The sequence below is a fragment of the Homo sapiens genome, chromosome 11 (assembly GCF_000001405.40).
Source record: "Homo sapiens chromosome 11, GRCh38.p14 Primary Assembly".
NCBI classification, from domain to species: Eukaryota; Metazoa; Chordata; class Mammalia; order Primates; family Hominidae; genus Homo; species Homo sapiens.
The window spans coordinates 3774911-3797707 of NC_000011.10; the positions used below are offsets into that span (position 1 = coordinate 3774911).

General features: G+C 43.1%; 1 protein-coding gene and 1 pseudogene across 12 annotated transcripts in view, besides 4 other annotated features; one reads left to right on the top strand and one right to left on the bottom strand.

Moving 5' to 3' along the window:
• NUP98 (nucleoporin 98 and 96 precursor) overlaps positions 1–22644 on the bottom strand; it is a 122545-nt gene extending 99901 nt beyond the window's left edge. For 11 of the 12 annotated variants that reach the window (NR_157590.2, NR_157589.2, NM_001365128.2 and 8 more), the window contains exons 1-5: positions 22490–22644; positions 7132–7235; positions 4246–4347; positions 3963–4139; positions 972–1111 (exon numbers count right to left, since the gene is read on the bottom strand). Coding sequence is in view for 9 of the 12 variants with exons in the window: in NM_001365128.2 (NP_001352057.1) it covers positions 972–1111; positions 3963–4139; positions 4246–4347; positions 7132–7207 (495 nt within the window). In the remaining 3 variants the exon portion in view is untranslated. The remainder of the gene's footprint in view (positions 1–971; positions 1112–3962; positions 4140–4245; positions 4348–7131; positions 7236–22489) is intronic. The other variant, NR_157591.1, reaches the window with a different exon arrangement.
• On the top strand, positions 6486–6541 carry RNU7-50P (RNA, U7 small nuclear 50 pseudogene; annotated as a pseudogene).
• Positions 15581–16500: an enhancer, noted in NCBI's record as "H3K4me1 hESC enhancer chr11:3811721-3812640 (GRCh37/hg19 assembly coordinates)". NCBI's record gives its function as "activates a minimal SCP1, AML or CMV promoter by ChIP-STARR-seq in naive H9 embryonic stem cells {active_cell/tissue: H9 hESC(naive)}" and the evidence as "EXISTENCE:reporter gene assay evidence [ECO:0000049][PMID:30033119]".
• Positions 16501–17418: an enhancer, noted in NCBI's record as "H3K4me1 hESC enhancer chr11:3812641-3813558 (GRCh37/hg19 assembly coordinates)". NCBI's record gives its function as "activates a minimal SCP1, AML or CMV promoter by ChIP-STARR-seq in naive H9 embryonic stem cells {active_cell/tissue: H9 hESC(naive)}" and the evidence as "EXISTENCE:reporter gene assay evidence [ECO:0000049][PMID:30033119]".
• Positions 22321–22410: a silencer, noted in NCBI's record as "silent region_3082". NCBI's record gives its function as "represses an Ori minimal core promoter by ATAC-STARR-seq in GM12878 lymphoblastoid cells {active_cell/tissue: GM12878}" and the evidence as "EXISTENCE:reporter gene assay evidence [ECO:0000049][PMID:35858748]".
• Positions 22491–22660: a silencer, noted in NCBI's record as "silent region_3083". NCBI's record gives its function as "represses an Ori minimal core promoter by ATAC-STARR-seq in GM12878 lymphoblastoid cells {active_cell/tissue: GM12878}" and the evidence as "EXISTENCE:reporter gene assay evidence [ECO:0000049][PMID:35858748]".

The window sequence follows — 22797 nt, forward strand, 5'->3', positions numbered from 1 at the left end:
AACCAATTTACCTGACAAATTCTTCATTTTCTGGAGTATATTTTAACAAGTTTTATTTCTGCCAAAGATTTCCATTAGGCTAACTGCACCTCCAGCATACCCTAAGAATCCCCCAAACATTTACATCAAGTGGCATTCCACATGTTTCTGTAAACAAAATCCTCCACTCTAGCCCTCCACCCAATCCCTCTCAAAAAAAGAACACATACACAATAAACTTTACAGCCCCATTTAGCCATTTCATCAACAAAACCTGTATTTTTCAGTGGGTACAGAATGCTGATGAGTTACTCTTATTTGCCCCCTATTCTTTATTCCCATAAAGATTAGTTGACCAGGCCGGGCATGGTGGCTCATGCCTGTAATCCCAACACTTTGGGAGGCAGAGGTGGGCAGATCACCTGAGGTCAGCAGTTCGAGACCAGCCTGGCCACCATGGTGAAACGCCATCTCTACTACAAAAAACTACAAAAAAATTAGCTGGGTATGGTGGTGGACTCTTGTAATCACAGCTACTCAGGAGGCGGAGGCAGGAGAATCACTTGAACCCAGGAGGTAGAGGTTGCAGTGAGCTGAGATTGCACCACCACACTCCAGCCTGGGCAACAAGAGCGAAACTCCATCTTAAAAAAACAAAATAACAAAAAAAAAAAAGAAAATTGAACAGTTGACCATTCAGAAGCAAATTCTTAACACAGTAAATTCAAATTCTACCTTACACCAGATTATAATAAAGTTTTATGAATACAAATTTTATTGGGATGAGCCTAATTCAAATATACATCGTAATCTAGATTTACATTTCACAAGTGTTCCTGTCTACTATACAACTATTTATAGATTTTGTTTTTAACACATCGTTCAGGCAGTGTCAAGCTAAGCTGGAAAGAGAAGCAATTTTACAATTCATCCTGCAAAGAAATATACATGCGGGAAAAAACATTCCACAAAGATTGGAAGAAAATACATACGTTAAATTTAATAGTAGTCCCAGTAGGAGCAGCTGTAAAACTACTTGGCCCAAAGAGGGAGCCAGATGTGCTGCCAAAAGGATTAGAGGTGGTATTTGTGGTTCCAAAGAGTCCTCCACTGCTAGTACTGGTTCCAAAATCTAAAAATAAGAAAGAAAAATGAGACGATAACAGTAAGAAATTTAAGAATGTATAAGATGCATTGGAATTGGGCTATGGCACTAGCATCACAGTACTTCATTTTTTTTTTTTTTTTTTGAGACAGGGTCTTGCTCTGTCTCCTAGGATGGAGTGCAGTGGTGCAATCACAGCTCACTGCAGCCTTGACCTCACAGGCTCAAGCAATACTCCTGCCTCAGCCTCCCAAGTAGCTGGGACCACAGGCATGCGCCACCACACCCAGCTAATTTTTTTTTTAATTTTTGTAGAGACTGCCTTTTGCCATGTTGCTCGGGCTAGTCTCAAACTCCTGGGCTCAAGCAATCCTCCTACCTCGAAATCCTAAAGTGTTGGGATTACAGGTGTGAGCCACTGCACCTGATCTCATATCCTGAAATTTTTCACCTTTCAAGTCTCCCAAGCAAATATATTCAAATAGAAATTTCTTTTTTTTTTTTTTTGAGACGGAGTCTCGCTGTGTAGCCCAGGCTGGAGTGCAGTGGCGTGATCTCAGCTCACTGCAACCTCCACCTCCCAGGTTGACGCCATTTCTCCTGCCTCAGCCTCCTGAGTAGCTGGGACTACAGGTGCCCGCCACCAAACCCGGCTAATTTTTTGTATTTTTTTTTTTTAAGTAGAGATGGGGTTTCACTGTGTTAGCCAGGATGGTCTCGATCTCTTGACCTCATGATCCATCCACCTATGCCTCCCAAAGTGCTGGGATTACAGGTGTGAGCCACAGTGCCCGGCCCAAATAGAAATTCATACAGAAAGATACGTACTTCCAGGCTCACAACTTTCAAGTGAAACAAAGTCTGAATCCTTTGGTCAGCTAAGTGTCCATAAAGCCCTAAGGTCACACTTGGAAGACAACTTAAAAGAAATACTTTGTTTCATCATAAATTTTATCTCATTTCTCCCTTTCTCATTTAACTACATGCTGAATGAACTTGTCTTTCTGAAAACATCTTGTCACAGACTTCAAGAGTGGTCACAGTACATTTTATTTACATACATTATAACATATACCTACACATAACCAAAAACTTTAGAATATACAAGTGGTCCTATTAGAGAAATCAAATATAGGTTAATGTAAAATTTCACCCCCCAAAATTTCAGAAAAATTAGCAGCCACTGTCAATTACTTTACAGAAACTAATAAAGAAATAGCAAATCCTTGGATTACTTTACTTTTCCAAAAAGCTGAGTTTAAAAAAAAATTACACATAAATGAATTTAATTGTTGCTAAGGAATATATTGCTGAAAGTATGAGAGACACTACTTCTAAAGAAGTTATGCCAGGTGCGGTGGCTCACGCCTGTAATCCCAGCACTTTGGGAGGCCAAGGCGGGTGGATCACAAGGTCAGGAGTTCGAGACCAGCCTGGCCAATATGGTGAAACCCCATCTCTACTAAAAATACAAAAATTAGCCAGGCGTGATGGCGGGCGCCTGTAGGCCCAACTACTCGGGAGGCTGAGGCAGGAGACTCGCTTAAACTGGGGAGGCGGAGGTTGCAGTGAGCAGAGATTGCGCCACTGCACTCCAGCCCGGGTAACAGATCAAGACTCCGTCTCAAAAAAAAAAAAAAAAAAAAAGAAGTTATACATATGGTGCCAGAAATGTCACTAAGCAAAGAAATTTATATGCCAATATTTAGAATTAGTAACATCCTAATTACCAGGTTAAAGAGTACTATGATTTATCACTGGCAAACTGCTATTACTTCTTTCTAAAACATGTCTTAATATATAGTTTAAAGCAAACAGGCACATTTCTTTTGAATTAGTACTTCAGACTGCATTATATACTGTTATGGCTAAATATTTCAATGTTATACAAACAACTTTCCCTCTGGAAAATACTGATGGCAGGCCAGGCGCGGTGGCTCACACCTGTAATCCTAGCACTTTGGGAGGCCGAGGCAGATGGAACACGAGGTCAGGAGATCGAGACCATCCTGGCTAACATGGTGAAACCCCGTCTCTACAAAAAATACAAAAAAATTAGCCGGGCATGGTGGCAGGCGCCTGTAGTCCCAGCTACTCGGGAGGCTGAGGCAGGAGAATGGCATGAACCCAGGAGGCACAGCTCGCAATGAGCCGAGATTGCGCCACTACACTCCAGCCTGGGTGACAGAGCGAGACTCCATCTCAAAAAAAAAAAAAAAAAAAAAAGAAAGAAAGAAAATACTGATGGCTGGCTATTCATTCTTCCATACTCTTGTGCCAGGAATGGAATCACTTGATAAAGCATACCTGATGAACTAGCAGTGGTTGGCTCAAAGTACAGTGCTGTGTGGAGAAGTATCCCCAAGTCATGTTTGGACTTAAAGTGAAAAAAGTCATCAACTAAAAACATCTGCCATGGACAAAGAATGGAGGAGTAACCATGTCACGTCCATTATGTCATTCCTGCTCTAGTCTCTTCATACCAAATATAAAACAGAGACAAGAAGAAGGTGCCTCTGCAGCACAATATGGCTGACTGTAACACACTCCTCCTTGAAATTCTCCCATCTTAACATGAACTACACTACTCTGACCTGGCTTTTCATCCTTTCTCTAGCCATTTTGCATCAGGAAGCTCTTCCTCTGCATATCCCTTAAATAACAGTGCTTCAAATTTCTATCCTTATAGAAATGTACATACTCTCTTCCTTTCCAGCCTATTAACCTTTTCAGTACATATTGAAGTTTTCCTCTTCCCTTGTTTTTGCCATTTAGTAGGAAAAGAAGGTAGATGAACACAGAAAAACGGAGAAAAGACAACACATTCAATAAGCAAACCAAATTATTAGATGCAGAACTCCAGTGATGTCCCACTTACTGCCAAAGCCAGTTGGTTTATTTTGTGCAAAGGCATTGTTTTGGGATGAGAAGAGACTGGTCCCTGTGCTTGCAGTTCCAAACAAGGTATTTGCTGTTCCTGTTGACGTACCAAACCCAAAGCCAGTGCTTGTGGAGGTAGCTGGCTGGCTAAATGAACTGGTTCCAAACAATCCTCCTGAGGAGATGGAGAAGGAGGGAAAAAGTTAAGTACATCAGAGCCACTAAGTCAATTCCTATACTAGCTACAAACAAACCAGTTATATCACAAATAAAGCCCCTACCTGGTTTAGTCTGTGAATTTCCAAAGAGGCCTCCAGTATTGTTGCTAGAACCAAATGCAGATGTTCCAAATGCCCCTCCACTAGTAGTGCCAAAGCCAGTATCTGAAAAAGCAAAATCCAGAGTAAATTAGAATTTAGAATAAAATCTACGTAAGATGACCAAATGAAAAGGCATTTTAATATTTCTTAAAATTCTGCATTTGAGGCTGTGCATGGTGGCTCACGCCTGTAATCCCAGCACTTTGGGAGGCCGAGGCGGGCGGATCACCTGAGGTCGGGAGTTCAAGACCAGCCTGACCAACATGGAGAAACCCCGTTTCTACTAAAAATACAAAATTAGAAGGGCGTGGTGGCACATGCCTATAATCCCAGCTACTAGGGAGGCTGAGGCAGGAGAACTGCTTGAATCTGGGAGGCAGAGGTTTCGGTGAGCCAAGATCGTGCCACTGCACTCCAGCCGGGGCAACAAGTGTGAAACGCCGTCTCAAAAAAAAAAAAAAAATTCTGCATTTGAACTACTAGTCTAATTAAAAACATTTTTTCAAAATCCCATCAGAGTATGAATTACAGAGTAAAAACCAAGCCACAGACATTTTATTCATCGCCCCAGGGGAAGTATGAAAATTTAAAGTCAAAAGGAGTGACTTTTCAATAAAAGTTACAGATGTTCATAGGTTAAAAAAAAGTGCTGGCCGGGCACGGTGGCTCACACCTGTAATCCCAGCACTTTGGGAGGCCGAGGTGGGCGAATCATTTGAGGTCAGGAGTTCAAGACCAGCCTAACCAACATGGTGAAATCCCGCCTCTACTAAAAATTCAGAAAAATTAGTGACACTCCGTAGTCACTGAGATAAATGGTCTTTCATTAGCGGAACACATCAGAACAACCTGGGAAGCTTTTTCAAAATATACATGTTCAGGTTTCAACTCCAGAGATTCTAATTCCATAGTTTTTGATGAGAGATACATATTTTGAATAAAAACTTCCAAAGGTGACTGTGATGGGCACTTTTAGTTAAAAACCACAGACATGGACGTAGAATTCTTTAAAAAGGAGATCAGGAGCCACTTAAGAAAACTTCCCTGCCAGGTGCGGGGAAGTTACAGGCTCACGCCTGTAACCCCAGCACTTTGGGAGGCCGAGGCAAGCAGATCATGAGGTCAGGAGATCAAGACCATCCTGGCTAACACGGTGAAACCCTGTCTCCACTTAAAATAAAAAAAAAAAAAAAAAAAATTAGCCGGGCCTGGTGGAGGGTGCCTGTAGTCCCAGCTACCGGGGAGGCTGAGGCAGGAGAATTGCTTAAACCCAGGAGGCGGAAGTCGCCGTGAGCTGAGATCGCACCACCGCACTCCATCCTGGGTGACAGAGCGAGACTCCATCTCAAAAAAAAAAAAAAAAAAAAAGAAAAAGAAAAAGAAAAAGAAAAACTTCCTCTATTATTAATTTTATTAGGTATGATAGAGGTTTGTTAGTCATGCTTCTTAAAGAATCCTTAGCCCAGTGCCGTGGCTTATGCTTGTAATCCCCTCGCTTTGGCAGGCTTAGGTGGGAGAACTGCTTGAGCTCTGGAGATGGAGACTAGCCTGGGCAACACGGCAAGATCTCACCTCTACAAAAAATTTTAAACATGAGCCAGGAGGCCAGGCGCAGTGGCTCACACCTGTAATCCCAGCACTTTGGGAGGCCGAGGCGGGCAGATTGCTTGAGGTCAGGAGTTTGAGACCACCCTGGCCAACATGGTGAAACCCCATCCCTATTAAAAATATAAAAATTAGCCGGGCATGGTGCCATACACCTGTCATCCCAGCTACTCGGGGGGCTGAGGCAGGAGAACTGCTTGAACCCAGGAGGCAGAAGTTACAGCGAGCTGAGAAAAATGAGCCAGGCGTGGTGGTGTGCAACTGTGGTCCTAGCTACTTAGGAGGCTGAGGTATGAGGAGTGCTTGGGTCTGGGAGGTTGAGGCTGTAGTGAACCATAATAGAGCCAATGCACTCCAGCCTCGGTGACAGTGCAGGATCCTATCTCAAAAAAAAAAAAAAAAAAAAAAAATTTTCATCAATTAGAGAAAAGTTTCTGGGATTTAATTTATTCTGTTAAGATGCTCTCCTCCTCCTGGAAAGAAAGAGATAAAAACAAGTCTGGGAAAATGCTGATTGTTAAAGTTGGGATATAAGTACATGAGAGTTCATTATACCATTCTTTCCAGACTTGGATGAGTATAAACATTTTTAACAAAGTGTCACAGCTCTTTTAGAATTTGTCTAGCAGGGTTTCTGGTTTTCACCAGGAAACAAAATTTTTTTTTTGCAGAGGGGGTGGACTTTCTGGTTTTAAAAAAAAAAAAAAAAAAAAAAAAACCCCTCCACAAAAATTTTTAACAAAAAGTTTAAATGTAAATAAGGATTGCTTCAGGCAATTAGTCATACACGATACTGGGTAGGAAGGGAGGTAGATCTCCGGAGGGTTGATGGGAATTAGACACTTCCACATTTTAACATTTCTGTGACATGAATGTCACATCATGTTCACAGGGTAAATTCCAGGGCAGTTATTTCATAACTGCATTTTAGACTTCAACATTAAGAGAATTATTTTCTGGTCTGAAAATTAGTAACAAATTATAACTTTCTGTCAACCAAAATAATATAAATATTTTAAGTATCTTCTACTGACAATCAGAAGAAGGCCATGAAAACTTAGAATTTATTTCTACTTTCTTAAAAACTGTTAAAGAGATCTTATCCTAATTATTTTTTCAAGACGACTTTGTTATAAATATGAAAGTAAAAATAAAATTCCCACCTAAAGCTTATCAGAGTGGATTTGTTCTTAGTAAGGGAGATTAAGGTTTCTCCCTCTTTTGTCCTTTTTAAAAACTTACTCTGTCCAAATGTTGAAGTTGTGCCAAAGCCACCTGTGCCACCCCCAAAGGGTGTTCCAAATGATTTGTTAAACATCTTCAAAATGAGTCTTTGTTTCAGAAAGCTGGGAAAAAGAAAACATTATCACTCTCTTAAAGACCACAAAATGGAATATAATTGTTTTAGAAAATCTATCATTCCACAAACTTAGGCCTATTCGAACTATAGTATATACTCTCATTCAAAATCCTCAAACTGTATGATAAAATAAACCTTGTAAAATGATCTTTATAATCTACAATGTTCCTGAGCTGAACAGTAAGGTTAAACTTCATAATGTGAGGTTAAACTTCAGATCCCAACATTAACCATCCATTTAAAACAATGTTTTCAATCTTTTTTTTTTTTTAACCTAAGTCCCCTTTTTAATCAATAAATATTTCAGGTCTACAAGGCAAGATGTTTATATGATCCTCATAGGAGGTTATGAATCATATCCATCAAAAATTAAAACACAGTCTGCTAACCCAACCACCTAAAAAGCTAACATTTTTTTTTTTTTTTTTTTTTTGAGACAGAAGGACGTGCAGTGGCTCACTGCAACCTCCTCCTCCTTGGTTCAAGTTATTCTCCTGCCTCAGTCTCAAAGTACCTGGGATTACAAGCGTGTGTCACCATGCCTGTCTAATTATTTGTATTTTTAGGAGAGACAGGGTTTCACCATGTTGGCCAGGCTGGTCTTAAAAAAACTCCTGATCGAGTGATCCACCCACCTGGGTGCTGAGATTACACCACCAAAGTGCTGGGATTACAGGCGCAAACCACCGCACCCGGCCAAGGCTTTATTTTCCATAGTTTGCATTATAAAGTTTCTTTCTCCCCTACCTTCGAGGGATATAAAACATGGTAATAGTAAATGTTTTTCAAATTATGCATGCCCCGCCTTCTATCTCTAAATCCCAGAGATTCTGGTGCCCTGACATTCTCTTTGAGATTACGTTTTAAGACTATTCTCTATGGTCCCCTACTTATCTATCTTCTACTTCTAAGATTACAGAAAAACCTTTGATGAAAATCCCTCACCTCTGGCCAGGCACAGTGGGCTCACACCTCTAATCCTGACAGCTTGGGAGGCTGAAGCGGGCTGATTGCTTGAGCCCAGGAGTTCGAGACCAGCCTGGGCAACATGGTGAAACCCTGTCTACAAAAAATCAAAGTTGGACTGGTGTGGTGACACGGGACTGTAGTCCCAGCTACTCTGTTGGCTGAGGTGGGAGGAGCGCTTGAGCCCAGAAGGTGGAGGTTGCTGTGAGCCATTATCATGCCACTTCCCTCCAGCAAAGGTGATAGGGTGAGACAATGTCTCAAAAACAAATAAAAAAAACTGCTCACCTTGGCTGGGCGCGGTGGCTCACGCCTGTAATCCCAGCACTTTGGGAGGCCAAGGCGGGTGGATCACCTGAGCTCAGGAGTTCAAGACCAGCCTGGTCAACATGGTGAAACCCTGTCTCTACTAAAAATACAAAAATTAGCCAGGCGTGGTGGTGCATGCCTGTAATCTCAGCTATTTGGGAGGCTGAGGCAGGAGAACTGCTTGAACCTGGGAGGCAGAGGTTGCAGTGAGCTGAGATCGCACCATTGTACTCCAGCATGGGTGACAAGAATGAAACTCTGTCTCAAAAACAAAAACAAAAACAAAAACGCTCACCTCACATAAATTATTTTACTCCTGTATCCAAACTATGCACCCGGTCATTTAAGGAACTGAACCAAACTGTTCCAAGAACGCCTACACAGAAAAGTTTGGTTCCCCCTGTCTGAATAAGAATAGCTTCATAGTGAAACACCCAAGAATGATCAATTAAAAAAAAATAAATAAAATAAAAATAAAAAATAGCTTCATAGTTTACTCAGAGCTTTCCCCCTCCACAAATTTTCCTTAAATTTAGATGCCTGCTACCTCTTTTCTGCTAGCAGACAATAAATTAATAAGTAAACTACTTTCAGCATAAAAACTCTGAAAACAGTCAATCATGCTCATCTGGATTCTGTGACAGAGATGATGATTTTTCTATTATAGCCACACAATGTATGTAAAGAGTAGTCTTTTCTTCTAGGAAACTCAGGCCGTGTTCATATAATAGAATTAAATATTGCATTTTGAGGTCTTCCCCAAATTCTAGTATCCCACTAACACTTCCAGTCATTCTAATAACCAAACATTTTGTGCAACACTGAAAAAGATAAGGCTGTCCCTTAAATAAATGCTTTACAGAAATATTCTCTCTCCTGAAATTTCCTAGGAAAAAAAATCAAATACTTAAGTTCTTTATCTCAATATCCAAAAACTGAGTAACTCCTTTGATTAAACAAAGCTCACTAAAACCAGTGGTTCTAGAGGGCCACATCAGAATTAGGTGGCAAGCTTTTCAAAATACAAACTCTGGCTGGTTACACTGGCTCACATCTGTAGATCCCAATGCTTTGGGAAGCTGAGGCAGGATGATCTGCTTAAAGCCAGACAAGCTTGGACAACACAGCAAGACTCTGTCTCTATTAAAAACAAAAAAAAAACAAAAAAAAACAAAAAACATGGTGCACACCTGTACGAAGCTCCAGCTACTAGTGAGGTTGAAGCTAGAGAATCACTTTAGCCCAGGAGTTCAGGCCTGCAGCAAGGTACAATGGTGCCACTGCACTCCAGCAAGCAAGCAAACAAACAAAAATACAAACCCCCAGGCTCCATTCTAGAAATATTGAACAAAAATGTCTAGGGCTGGGGTACAGACATTTGCATTCAGAAAAAGTTCAAGTTACTCTAAAGCACACCCTTGGCCGGGCGCGGTGGCTCACACCTGTAATTCCAACACTTTGGGAGGCAGAGGCGGGCAGATCACCTGAGACCAGGAGTTCGAGACCAGCCTGGCCAACATGGTGAAACCCCCGTCTCTACTAAAAATACAAAAATTAGCCAGGTGTGGTGGCAGGCGCCTGCCGTCCCAGCTACTCAGGAGGCTGAGACAGGAGAATTGCTTGAACCCCAGAGGTGGAGCCTGCAGTGAGCTGAGATCGTGCCACTGCACTCCAGCCTGGGCAACACAGCGAGACTCTGTCTCAAAAAATATAAATGAATAAAAAAAAAAAATACAGTTATGGCAAAAACAAACAAAAAAAAACAACCAAAAAACCAACGGATTTTTGGCTTCTCATGAAGAACCTGATAATTAACCAAACCATGACTGTAATCACTTCACGGCAATGACAGGCTGAAGCTTAGTAGCAATTCCCTCTATCTATCTCTCTTCTGTGAGAGCATGCACTCTCCAAAGTGCCACAATACCCACCATCACTCATTTACATCAACTGTCTGGTTCCTGTGGGTTTTCAGTTTGTGACTACTGACATAATCAGAGAAAGAACATGTAACACTTTACTTCCTCTATTAACAATAACAAGGCTGGATGCGGTGGCTCATGCCTGTAATCCCAGCACTTTGGGAGGCCAAGGTGGGCAGATCACTTGAGGCCAAGAGTTTGAGACCAGCTTGGCCAACATGGCAAAACCCCGCCTCTACTAAAAAAACACAAATCAGCTGATAGCGGTGGTGCACACCTGTGATTCCAGCTACTCGGGTGGCTAAGGCAGGAGAATCACTTGAACTCAGGAAGCAGACGTTGCAGTTAGTTGAGATCGTGCCACTGCACTCCAGTCTGGGCAACACAGTGAGACTCTGTCTCAACAAACAAATAACAAAAGATCTAGATAATACAGATATTTGCATTAACTATTTTCCATTCCATTTGGATTTTACTCCAAAAATGTAGTAAAATCCATTAAAAAAAAAAAGTAATCCTAGAGACAGAAATAAACCCATTAAAGTTTAAAGGCATATCACACTTGAGCCTTTATCCTTTCAAATATGTTAAACTGGCCCAAGCTGAAACCCCCACCAAGAATACAAGATAACATTTGAGTTTTTACTATGTCCCAGGCACTGTTCTAATGCTGCTTATGAATTATCTCATGTAAACCTCCCAAGAATCCAACGATGTAGGTATTTTTATCTCTATTTTACAAGGAAGAAATTAAGGCACAAGAATCTATTTGCCCAAGACAAAGCTATCGTTGACCCCAGCGGCCAATGCTTCTAGAGTCTAGAGCCTAGAGCTCCTAGAGAAAGAACATTGCCAATTAAAGGAAAATGACCTTGCATTCACTATAAATGGGGAACCTACAAAACCAACAATTGGTACTACAGATCCAGCACTATCAGGGAAAGACACTTCTCTGGCAAATATGGGAGTTCTAGTCATCAGAAATAATCTCTTTTATGGAGTAAGGATAATTTATAAGGTATACCCATGGCAAAGATGAAATTTACAACAAAGATTAACCTTTCTCCTTTTTTTCTTTATGAATGGACTTATTTATACCCACTGCAGGTTTTTCTTTTTGATATATTTAAAAAGAAAAATGAAATAGTGTTATATAGAAAAGAAACCTTTAACTTTATCCTTAATTTTACTCTGTCCTCTATGCTCAAAAATCTCCTAATTAATAATTCAGATTCTCAGATACAAGAAGTAGCCTTATAATACACCCAGTAGTCCAATCAATGGACAGACATATATTCTGACACTGTCCAAACTGAAGTTCTATACACTGATATACTGTTTTACATATCTTAACTTTTGTGATCTCTGTGAACTCTGGGTACAATGACAAAACTTAGTTTTCTACCCAGAAAAGTAGTGGATATCCTGAAATGTGGTCAAAACGTTTACAACTCCAGGCAACTGTCAACTTTAAGACTATCTGAAAGACTATGCAAGCTTCCCAAGACATTTCCAATTTGCTGCTAACTCCAGACGTAAATGGGAAGTAGTTTTTTCCTTTCCACTTCATTAAACTCCTTTGTATCAAAGCCAGCAAACAGCAAAAACAATAAATATTTGTTAGATGAATGGACTGTATAGTACTTCCTACTTTACAAAGCATTTTTTCATACATCCTCTCATCTAACCTTCACAAAAATACTAGAAGAGCCAGGGATTATCACACACAGTTAAACTGAATGAAAATTTTTGCCCTAGATAAGAAAAGAGGGCTGGGAAACGAGGCTGGGTGGAATTCCAGGAAGAAGAGATTCATTAGCCTAGTGTAACCTAATAACATATCCCAACAAAACTATCTGGAACCTTCTGTTTTACAGTATCCTCCCTAGGATAGATCTTTGATCAAGCCATTCCCTTGGTTAGAACATCATATCCTCTCTAAGGCCGGGCACGGTGGCTCAAGGTCTGTAATCCCGGCACTTTGGAAGGCCAAGGTGGGCAGATCAACTAAGGTCAGGAGTTCGAGACCAGACTGGCCAATAGGGTGAAACCCCCGTCTCTAATAAAAATACAAACATTAGCCAGAAGCGGTGGCGCATGCCTGTAATCCCAGCTACTCGAGAGACTGAGGCAGGAGAGTCGCTCGAACCCGGAAGGCAGAGGTTGCAGTGAGCCAAGATCATTCCAGCCTGGGTAACAGAGCAAGACGCTGTCTCAAACAAAAAAAAAGAACATCATACCCTCTCTAAAAATCGTATCTCCTTTTCTTCCTAAAAATTGTTGCTCAAGCCTCACCTGCTTTCACAAGACTGCCGCACACCCTTAAACTCTTTATTAGTATAAAAACACTTTAAAGGCCGGGCACGGTGGCTCATGTCTGTAATCCCAGCACTCCGGGAAGCAGAGGCGGGCAGATCACGAGGTCAAGAGATCGAGACCATCCTGGCCAACATGGTGAAACCCCGTCTCTACTGAAAATACAAAAATTAGCTGGGCATGGTGGTGTGTGCCTCTAGTCCCAGCTACTTGGGAGGCTGAGGCAGGAGAATCACTTGAATCCAGGAGGCGGAGGTTGCAGTGAGCCGAGATCGGGCCACTGCACTCCAGCCTGGCGACGGAGCCAGAGTCCATCTCAAAAAAAATAAAACACTTTACTTCCCCTCTTCCTTTCCAACCCCGATTACGTAAACTAGTGTCTCTCAGCTGCTTTTAGTTATGCAATATATTTGTTATTATACCTGCCACCTGAGTGTTTTACCTGTCTGCTGCTCTGGGTAAAAAAAATGTCTTGACTTTGCTCACTGGGTGTAAATTAATTTTAAATAGTCCATAGCATCTTACATAAGCTCCTTCCTAATAGCACTGAGCAGCATTTTTTTCATCCCCTTAACATAACCCTAATCATTTTAGAGTGAAGAGTATATTAGCTTTGGTGTGAGACATCTGTATTTAAAACTGTCACTCGGCTAGGCGCGGTGGCTCACACCTGCAATCCCAACACTTTGGGAGGCCAAGGCTGGTGGATCACCTGAGCTCAGGAGTTCGAGCCCAGCCTGGCCTACATGGTGAAACCCCCTGTCTCTACTAATACAAAAATTAGCCTACATGCCTGTAATCCCAGCTACTCAGGAGGCTGAGGCAGGAGAACTGCTTGAACCTGGGAGGTGGAGGTTGCTGTGAGCCCAGATTGCGCCACTGCACTACAGCCTGGGTGACAAGAGTGAAATTCTGTCTCCAAAAATAAATAAATAAATAAATTTCTAAAAGTGAAAGGATATATACCTAACTATTAAGAATCACTGTATAAGGCTGGGCACGGTGGCTCACGCATGTAATCGCACCATTTTGGGAGGCCCAAAGTGGGCGGATCACCTGAGGTCGGGAGTTCAAGACCAGCCTGAGAAGCAAGGAGAAACCCCGTCTCTACTAAAAAATACATAATTAGCCAGTTGTCGTGACGCATGCCTGTCATCCCAGCTATTCGGGAGGCTGAGGCAGGAGAATCGCTTGAACCCAGGAGGCAGAGATTGCAGTGAGCCGAGATCGTGCCACTGCACTCCAGCCTGGATAACAACAGTGAAACTCCATCTCAAAAAAACAACCAAAAAAAAACCTGTCAGTTACCATCATTGACTCTTAAAATCTAAAGTTAATTCAAAATAAAAAGTTAAAAAAATAAAAAATTCCTCTGCCACTTGCTACTGTAAGTCATAATATTCAATCTCTCAGACCTCAATTTCTACATCTGAACAATAGGGATTGTACAGCCTACACCAAAAGACTGGTAGGAGGACAAAGCTGCCTCAAACTAGAGCTCCTCAAAAGCAGCATTTTGTTTATTTTTCAACAGGTATTTTACAGGTATTTATAATTTAAAAAGCATAATAAATGTCCCCTCACTCTAAACTTTGGTTCAATGGCTAGCTAGAATGCCATAATTTCTTATTTCTCAATGCTTAAGTGTCATCCACTGATCACTCAGCACAAGCATAAAGCACCACTGCAAACAAAAACAAATCCCATCCCTGCACAAACACAATATATTGAGATTACTATGATCATTCAACCTCTTCCATCTATCTCACATCTCTGTCTTTATTCCCAACTATCCATCTTTTTAATTTACAAATTCATTTACCTATTTCTTTTTTTTTTTTTTTTTTTTGGTTTTTGTTTTGAGACAAGGTCTCACTCTGTTGCCCAGGCTGGAATGCAGTGGCATGATCATGGCTCACTGCAGCCTGGACCTCCTGGGTTCAACTGATCCTCCCACTTTAGCCTCCCAAAAAGCTGAGACCACAGGCATGTGCCACTATGTTGCCCAGGCTGGTCTCTAACTCCTGGACTCAAGCCATCTTCCTGCTTTGGCCTCCTAAAGTGCAGGGATTATAGGTGAGCCCCTGTGCCAGGCCCATTTACTTATTTTTTATTTATTTATTTTTTTGAGACAGTCTTGCTCTGTTGCCAGGCTGGAGTGCAGTGCAGTGGCATGATCTCAGCTCACTGCAACCTCTGCCTCCTGGGTTCAAGCGATTTCCCTGCCTCAGCCTCTCGAGAAGATGGGACTACAGGCACCCACCACTATACCGGGTTAATTTTTTGTATTTTAGTAGACATGGGGTTTCACCAAGTTGGCCAGGATGGTCTCGATCTTCCGACCTCGTGATCCGCCCACCTCAGCCTCCCAAAGTGCTAGCATTACAGGCGTGAGCCACGGCACACAGCCCCATTTACCTATCAAGAAGGTTGAGTGTGCAAATACTAGTAAGCTCTGTGTCAAACGAAGTAAAATTAAAGATGTGAAGTGATGAGTGACTGTAACATTTACTGAGGATGAACTGTTCCCTTCACGAACAGACCAGCCCTAATTCAGGTGCTCAATTCTTTTCCCCTTGACTAATGATTTTCAAATATTTTTTAGCCATGAAACCCGACATATAAAACAGACATAAGCAGAAGCTGCTCTGGCTGAAGTGAAGAGGGAGTAGGTACAGTAGAACCCCACCAGCTCTGCCCTATGAAGCAGCTTAGGGCTCTATGAACCAATGTGAAATATTGTTCTAGATTAGTGGTTCTCAAAGTGTGACCCAAAGACCCCTAAAAGTCCCCAACACTTCTTCCAGGGGTTCAATGAAATCAAAACCATTTTCACAATAAAACTAAGACACTTTGCCCTTTTTCTTTACTGTTCTGACCTCTGTGCTGATGTGCAAAATCAATGGTGTGCAAAAATGCTGGGAACTCAGCATGAATCAAAGCAACAACCCCAAATGGTGCTGAACTAACACTCACTGAATTCTTCACTGTCACCCATTTACAATATAAAAAATTCCACTTTCACTTAAAAGGGTCCTTAATGAAGCAGCAAAAATTATTAGTTGTATTATTTCTCAACACTACAGCACAATTCTTTTTAATTCAGTATTGGGAAATACTCAAAAACTTCTGCTTACTGAAATACAAAGGATATCAAGGGGCAAACCACCTGTAATTACTTTTGAAAGCTAAATGTAGTTGTTTTTCTCATGGAACACCATTTTAATTTTTTTTTTTTTTTGAGACAGAGTCTGGCTCTGTTGCCCAGGCTGGAGTGAAGTGACGCAATCTCGGCTGACTGCAAGCTCTGCCTCCCAGGTTCACGACATTCTCCTGCGTCAGCCTTCCGAGTAACTGGGATTACAGGCGCCCGCCACCACGCCCAGCTAATTTTTTGTATTTTTAGTAGAGACGGGTTTTCACCGTGTTAGCCAGGATGGTCTCGATCTCCTGACCTTGTGATCCGCCCCCCTCAGCCTCCCAAAGTGCTGGGATTACAGGCGTGAGCCACTGCGCCCCGCCCACCATTTTAATTTCAAAGAATGATTGACAAACTATGGTTATTAAGATTTGGTACTGGCTGGGCATGGTGGCTCACACCTGTAATCCTAGCAGTTTGGGAGGCCGAGGCAGGTGGATCACTTGAAGTCAGCAGTTCAAAACCAGCCTGGCCAACATGGTGAAACCTCATCTCTACTAAAAATACAAAAAATTAGCCAGGCATGGTGGTGGACGCCTGTAATCCCAGCTACTTGGGAGGCGGAGACAGGAGAATCAGTGGAACCCAGAAGGCGGAGGTTGCAGTGAGTTGAGATCCCACCATTGTACTCCAGCCTGGGGGAAAGACCGAGACCTCGTCTCAAAAAAAAAAAAAAAAAAAAAAAAAGAAAGGCTGGGCATGGTGGCTCATGCCTATAATCCCAGCATTTCGGGAGACCGAGGCAGACAGATCACGAGGTCAGGAGTTGAAGACCAGCCTGACCAACATGATGAAACCCTGTCTCTGCTAAAAATACAAAAATTAGCCATGTGTGGTGGCACCTGCCTGTAATCCCAGCTACTCAGGAGGCTGAGGCAGGAGAATTGCTTGAACCCAGGAGGCGAGGTTACAGTGAGCCGAGATCACGACACTGCACTCCAGCCTAGGCGACAGAGTGAGACTACATCTAAAAAAAAAAAAAAAAAAATTTTGATACAAAAATTACAACTACAAAAACATGCATTCGGCTGGGCGCAGCGGCTCATGCCTGTAATCCCAGGACTTTGGGAGGCGGAGGTGAGCGGATCACGAGGTCAGGAGATCGAGACCTTCCTGGCTAACACGGTGAAACCCCATCTCTACTAAAAATACAAAAAATTAGCCGGGCATGGTGGCACGCCCCTGTATTCCCAGCTACTCGGGAGGATGAGGCAGGAGAATGGCGTGAACCCGGGAAGTGGAGCTTGCAATAAGCCGAGATCGTGCCACTGCACTCCAGCCCAGGTGACAGAGTGAAACTCCATCTCAAAAAAAAAAAAAAAAAAAAAAAAAAAAAAACATGTATTCACCACTATCAGGTCATAAGCTTCTCAATTCTTAAAAAGACTTATCTGATGAGATGGGTGGAAACAGAAACAACTGTATAATTAAATTTGTCAACATCTGGAATATCTGGGCCAGGCCTATGGGGCTCATGCCTGTAATGCCAGCTCTTTAGGAGGCCGAGACGGGAAGATCACTTGATGTCAGGAGTTCCAGACCAGCCATGGTCAACATGTTGAAACCCCGTCTCTACAAAAAATACAAAAATTAGCCAGATGTGGTGGTACACACCTGTAGTCCCAGCTACTCAGGAGGCTGAGGCATGAGAATCACCTGAACCCGGAATGCAGAGGTTACAGTGAGCCAAGATTGTGCCACAACACTCCAGCCTGGGTGACAAAGCAAGACTCTGTCTCAAAAACAAAGAAACAAACAAACAAAAAAACAACAAAAAAAGAAGATCTGCATAACTCAGTAAATCAATAATTTCAAAATCAACATGCATCATGTTATAAAATCACAGAAGTGTAAAGGTCTATTCAAAGTACAACACAGACCAATGGTTTTTAATACAACAGAATACAAAAGTTCAATGACACAGTTTCAGATTCCATACTGTAATGAACCTTTAAAAAGGTTTGAGGCCGGGCACGGTGGCTCACGTCTGAAATCCCAGCACTTTGGGAGGCCAAGGCAGGCGGATCACTTGAGGCCAGGAGTTCAAACCCAACATGGCGAAACCCCGTCTCTACTAAAAATACAAAAAATTAGCCCAGCGTGGTGATGTGCACCTGTAGTCCCAGCAACTCAGGAGGCTGAGGCAGGAGAATTGCTTGAACCTGGGAGGCGGAGGTTGGAGTACGCTGAGATAGCGCCACTGCACTCCGACTTGGGCGACAGAGCACGACTCCGTCTCAAAAAAACAAACAAATAAAAAGGTTTGACTGTAGTGTCAAAGAGCAGTTAGAATTATCTGAAAAGGCCATTAAAATACTCCTCTCTTTTCCAACTATGTATCTGTATGAGGCTAGATTTTCTTCACATACTTCAAACAAAACAACATAATATATGTCAGAATGCAAAGACTGGTACATTTAGAGGTCTTCTTTTTATGATATGGAGTCTTGCTCTGTCACCCAGGATGAAGCACAGTGGTGCAATCTGCGCTCACTGCAACCTCTGCCTCCTGGGTTCAAGCGATTCTCTGCCTCAGCCTCCCAGTAGCTGGGACTACAGGTGCGTGTCACTGTGCCCAACTAATTTTTCTATTTTTAGTAGATTCAGGGTTTCACCATATTAGCCAGGATGGTCTCAAACTCCTAACCTTGTGATCCACCCGCTTCAGCCTCCCAAAGTGCTGGATTACAGGTGTGAGCCACCACACCCGGCCAGCTACCACTATATTTTTAAGAATTTTTCTTTCCTTACTAAAAAAAACTGCAAGTATTTCCCATTACACTGAATTAAGTACAAATTCCTCAATGTGGTAATTATGGCTGGGCATGGTGGCTCACGCCTGTAATCCCAGCACTTTGGGAGGCCAAAGCGGGTGGATTGCTTGAGGTCACGAGTTCCAGATCAGCCTGGCCAACATGGTGAAAGCCTGTCTCTACTAAAAATACAAAATTAGCTGGGTGTGGTGGCACGCACCTGTAATCCAGCTACTCGGGAGGCTGAGGCAAGAGAATTGCTTGAACCCACGAGGCGGAGGTTGCGGTGAGCCAAGATCACATCATTGCACTCCAGCCGGGGCAACAAGAGCGAAACTCTGTCTCAAAAAATAAATAAATAAATAAATACATGTGAAATATTTTCACTAAAGTAGTAGTCTCAATCAAGGGCAATTCTGACAATTTCTTCAGACATTCCTGATCGTTACAACCTGCAGAGGATGTGTTATGGGTATCTAATGGGTAGAGGTAGGAATGTTGCTAAATATCCTACAATATACAACAGAGCCCCCACGATAATTATCTGGCCCAAAGTCTCAAAGTTCCAAAGCTGAGAAACCTTTCTCTAGAGCCATACTGTGCCAAATACTTACGGTCAATTTCAAACAAAAAGAATGCACCAAGTTCTCAGGAAATGTTTACCTACCTTGCCTCTAATACATACTGTTTTGTTTTGTTTCTTTTCTTTTTTTCTTGAGTCAGAGTCTCGCTGTCGCCCAGGCTGGAGTGCAGTGGCACAATCTTGGCTCACTGCAACCTCCGCCTCCCGAGTTCAAGCAATTCTCCTCCCTCAGCCTCCCGAGTAGCTGGGGCAATGGGCGCATGCTGCCACGCCCAGCTAATTTTTCATATTTTTTTTTAAGTACAGATGGGGTTTCACCATGTTGCCCAGGCTGGTCTCAAACTCCTGAGCTCAGGCAATCCACCCGCCTCGGCCTCCCAAAGTGCTAGGATTACAGGCGTGAACCACCACACCACGCCTTTGTTTTAAGACAGGGCCTCACGCAGTTTCCCAGGCTGGAAAGCAGTGGTGCAATCACAGCACTGCAGTCTCAATCTTCCAGGCTCTGATGTTTCTTTGATTTCAGCCTCCTAAGTAGCTGGAGTACAGGTGCATGCCACCATACCTGCCTAATTTTTGTATTTTTCGTAGAGACAGGGTTTCCCCATGTTGCCCAGGCTAGTCTTGAACTTCTGGGCTCAGGAAATCCACCTGCCTTGACCTTTGAAGTGCTGGGATTACAGTAGTCAGTCACCATGCTCAGCCAATACTTATCCTTAAATCTCTGAGTTTCTTAGTTCCCTAACCTTTCAACAAATTACATAACTGCATAGTCTCATTATTGGAAATTAAACATTAGTACCATCATTCTTTACTTTCCAGGTTAACTACCACCACATAAATCATATTACAAGAAAATAATATAATTTTTTCAAAGCCGTAAATTTAGTTCCTTAAAAATTCTACTTGCTCTTAGTTATCTAGGACCTAGTAGACATAAAGTCAGGTACTGGCTGGGCACAGTGGCTCATACCTGTAATCCCAGCACTTTGGGAGGCCGAGGTGGGGGATGGCTTGAGCCCAGGAATTCGATACCAGCCTGGGCAACATAGCGAAACCCTGTCTCTACCCAAAATATACAAAAAAATATTAGCTGGGTATGGTGGTGCACACCTGTGGTCTCAGCTACTTGGGAGGCTGAGGTGGGAAGATTGCTTGAGCCCAGGAGGTAGAGGCTACTGTGAACCGAGATTGCGCCACTGCACTCTAGCCTGGGTGATGGAGTGAGACCCTATCTCATAAATAAATAAACAAATAAATGTCAGGGACCAAAGTATCACATAACATATAAACAGCAGGAACTATCTTATCTGGGCCCCATATTTCAGGAGCCTCTCTATTGACTACTGTTAGGTATAACTCCTCCATATTTGTCTATTCATTCAAGTAAACACACTTACTGAGGGCCTACTATGTGGCAAGCAACTGGACAACAAAGATAAGATGAAAATATTTTACCAGCCTAATTAAAAAAACAGCTAAAATAAAAATGATATGTGCTATAAATAGAAATATCAAATAAGTGTTATGGAAGCTTGCAGAGAAGAGAATGCCAAGAAAAGCTTCCCAGAAGAGGGTGATGCCTGAACTGAGAAAATGTCACGGAAAACATACCCTGTTCACGCTTTACTATTTAGACTACGGTTCTCTTCTGCACTACTAGTTCTGAGTTTATGCTTTGTCATCTATACAAGAACAAAGTAACAATCTTACTGATGTGTACAGAACCAAGTGTCAACTAATTCAATTTCATCAAATCTGAAGAGTCAAAAAGAATAATTTTACCCAAGTATTTCCCAGTACCTTTATCCTGTCCAACCTCTAGTTTTGGTTTTTAAATACCCTAACTTCCTCCACCAGGTAAACATACTGTAACCCAGTTAACTCGAGTTTCTTTTCGAATTTGTAAGACCGTCACAGGGAATGATCACTGCTCTCTTTTTGCTCTTTATTCCAGTTAGCTTCTTCCTCCAAAACGGAGTTTTATTTCCTCACCTTATTCTACTATAATACTTCACTTTGAATTCTGTACCTGAAAGGAGCCATGAGTTCCGAGGTACAACTACTACAAACGGACTCCTACCTGGCTTTCTAAGTCTTATCAATATTTCCTGCTTTCTATTCCAGTACTGTTATAAATCCCTAACTGACTCCGAGTCCTCATCAGCTGACACAAGTCAAAAAATTCAGATTTAGAAAGGGAAACAATGGCTTGTAGTTTTACCGATTTGTTTCCGATACATAACAACGCTGACGTTCTTTAACCATCTTCTAAGTTTAGTTCTCAAGCTCTAGGTTAGGGTACCACTAACGAAGCTTCCACCTTACCCGTGAACAGAGCTGGTAGCAACTAAACGGAAAACGCTGTGAAGACTACATCTACGTTTAGCTACCTAATGTCCATGCCGCACCGACCTCCTAAAGGGAATTCTTAATAATGGGAGACTGAAATATCCAGGGAGGGTGAGGTAGTAGAAAACTGTTTAGACTGTCAAAAATCTGGCATTGGCTAATCCTGCCTGTTACTCCGGGCCTCGGTTTCCCCATCTACAAAACTGATGTAAGGTAGGGGGATTGACTTAAACAATTTCTAAAGTCCTTATGGCTATAGTAATCCAGAAACTCAATCTGTCTCCTCATCTGGCTTTACACTGAACACGTGGGAAAATAGAAAAGAACCTTTTGCTCCACCGAACCGACTCCTATTCTCAGATATTATCTTAAAAATCTCCCAAACTTCGGACTCACCCTAATCCTCGGGGTGCCCACTTCCCTTATGGAGAAGCCAAGGCAAATAAAGCCCAGTCCCACATGACGGTCAAGGAAGTGCGGGGCAGACCGTATTCAGGGTTTCAAGGCGCTGACCCCGGAAAGGCCAGCCCACCGTGGGGTCCTTACACCACTGAATGAATGAGTACAACCAGACAGACACCCACTCGCGTGGGCAGCAACTGGAGACCTCCAGGCCTAGACCCCACTGATGTCCATTCTCTCCCAGGGCCTCCAAAGCCGGGCCTCCCGGGCTCCGGGCCCCCGGGTCCTCAGCACCGCCCCTCTCTCAGGCCAGAAGGTGCGCGCAGCGGCGCTAGACTTCGAAGCGGAGAGGCCCTGAGACGCCCCGCGCGTCCGCCCGCCCGGAAGGGGGGAGAAACCTGCCGGTCTCGGCCGCTGCAGCTCGGGCTCCCGACTTACCGCGGTTCGGTGGGGAAGGGGAAGTGTCAGGAGTCCCCTGCTGCCACCCGCCGCTCACAGAGCAGCGCGCGGCCCCCACGAAACCGTCGCCGCCGCCGCTACCACCCCTGCCACCGACCGCCGCTTCGGGCGCAGCGCGCAGAGGGCCCGACTGCGTCACACGCCGCCCGGCGTCAGAGGCTCGTTGCGGACGCTCCGCCCTCGCCGTCCGCGAATTGGTGGACGCGGCCGCCACTCTGGGTCGACCCTGTTATTCATTGGGCAACGCGTCTTTTGAAACCGAACTGAAGGGGGAAGGGGCGAGAGGG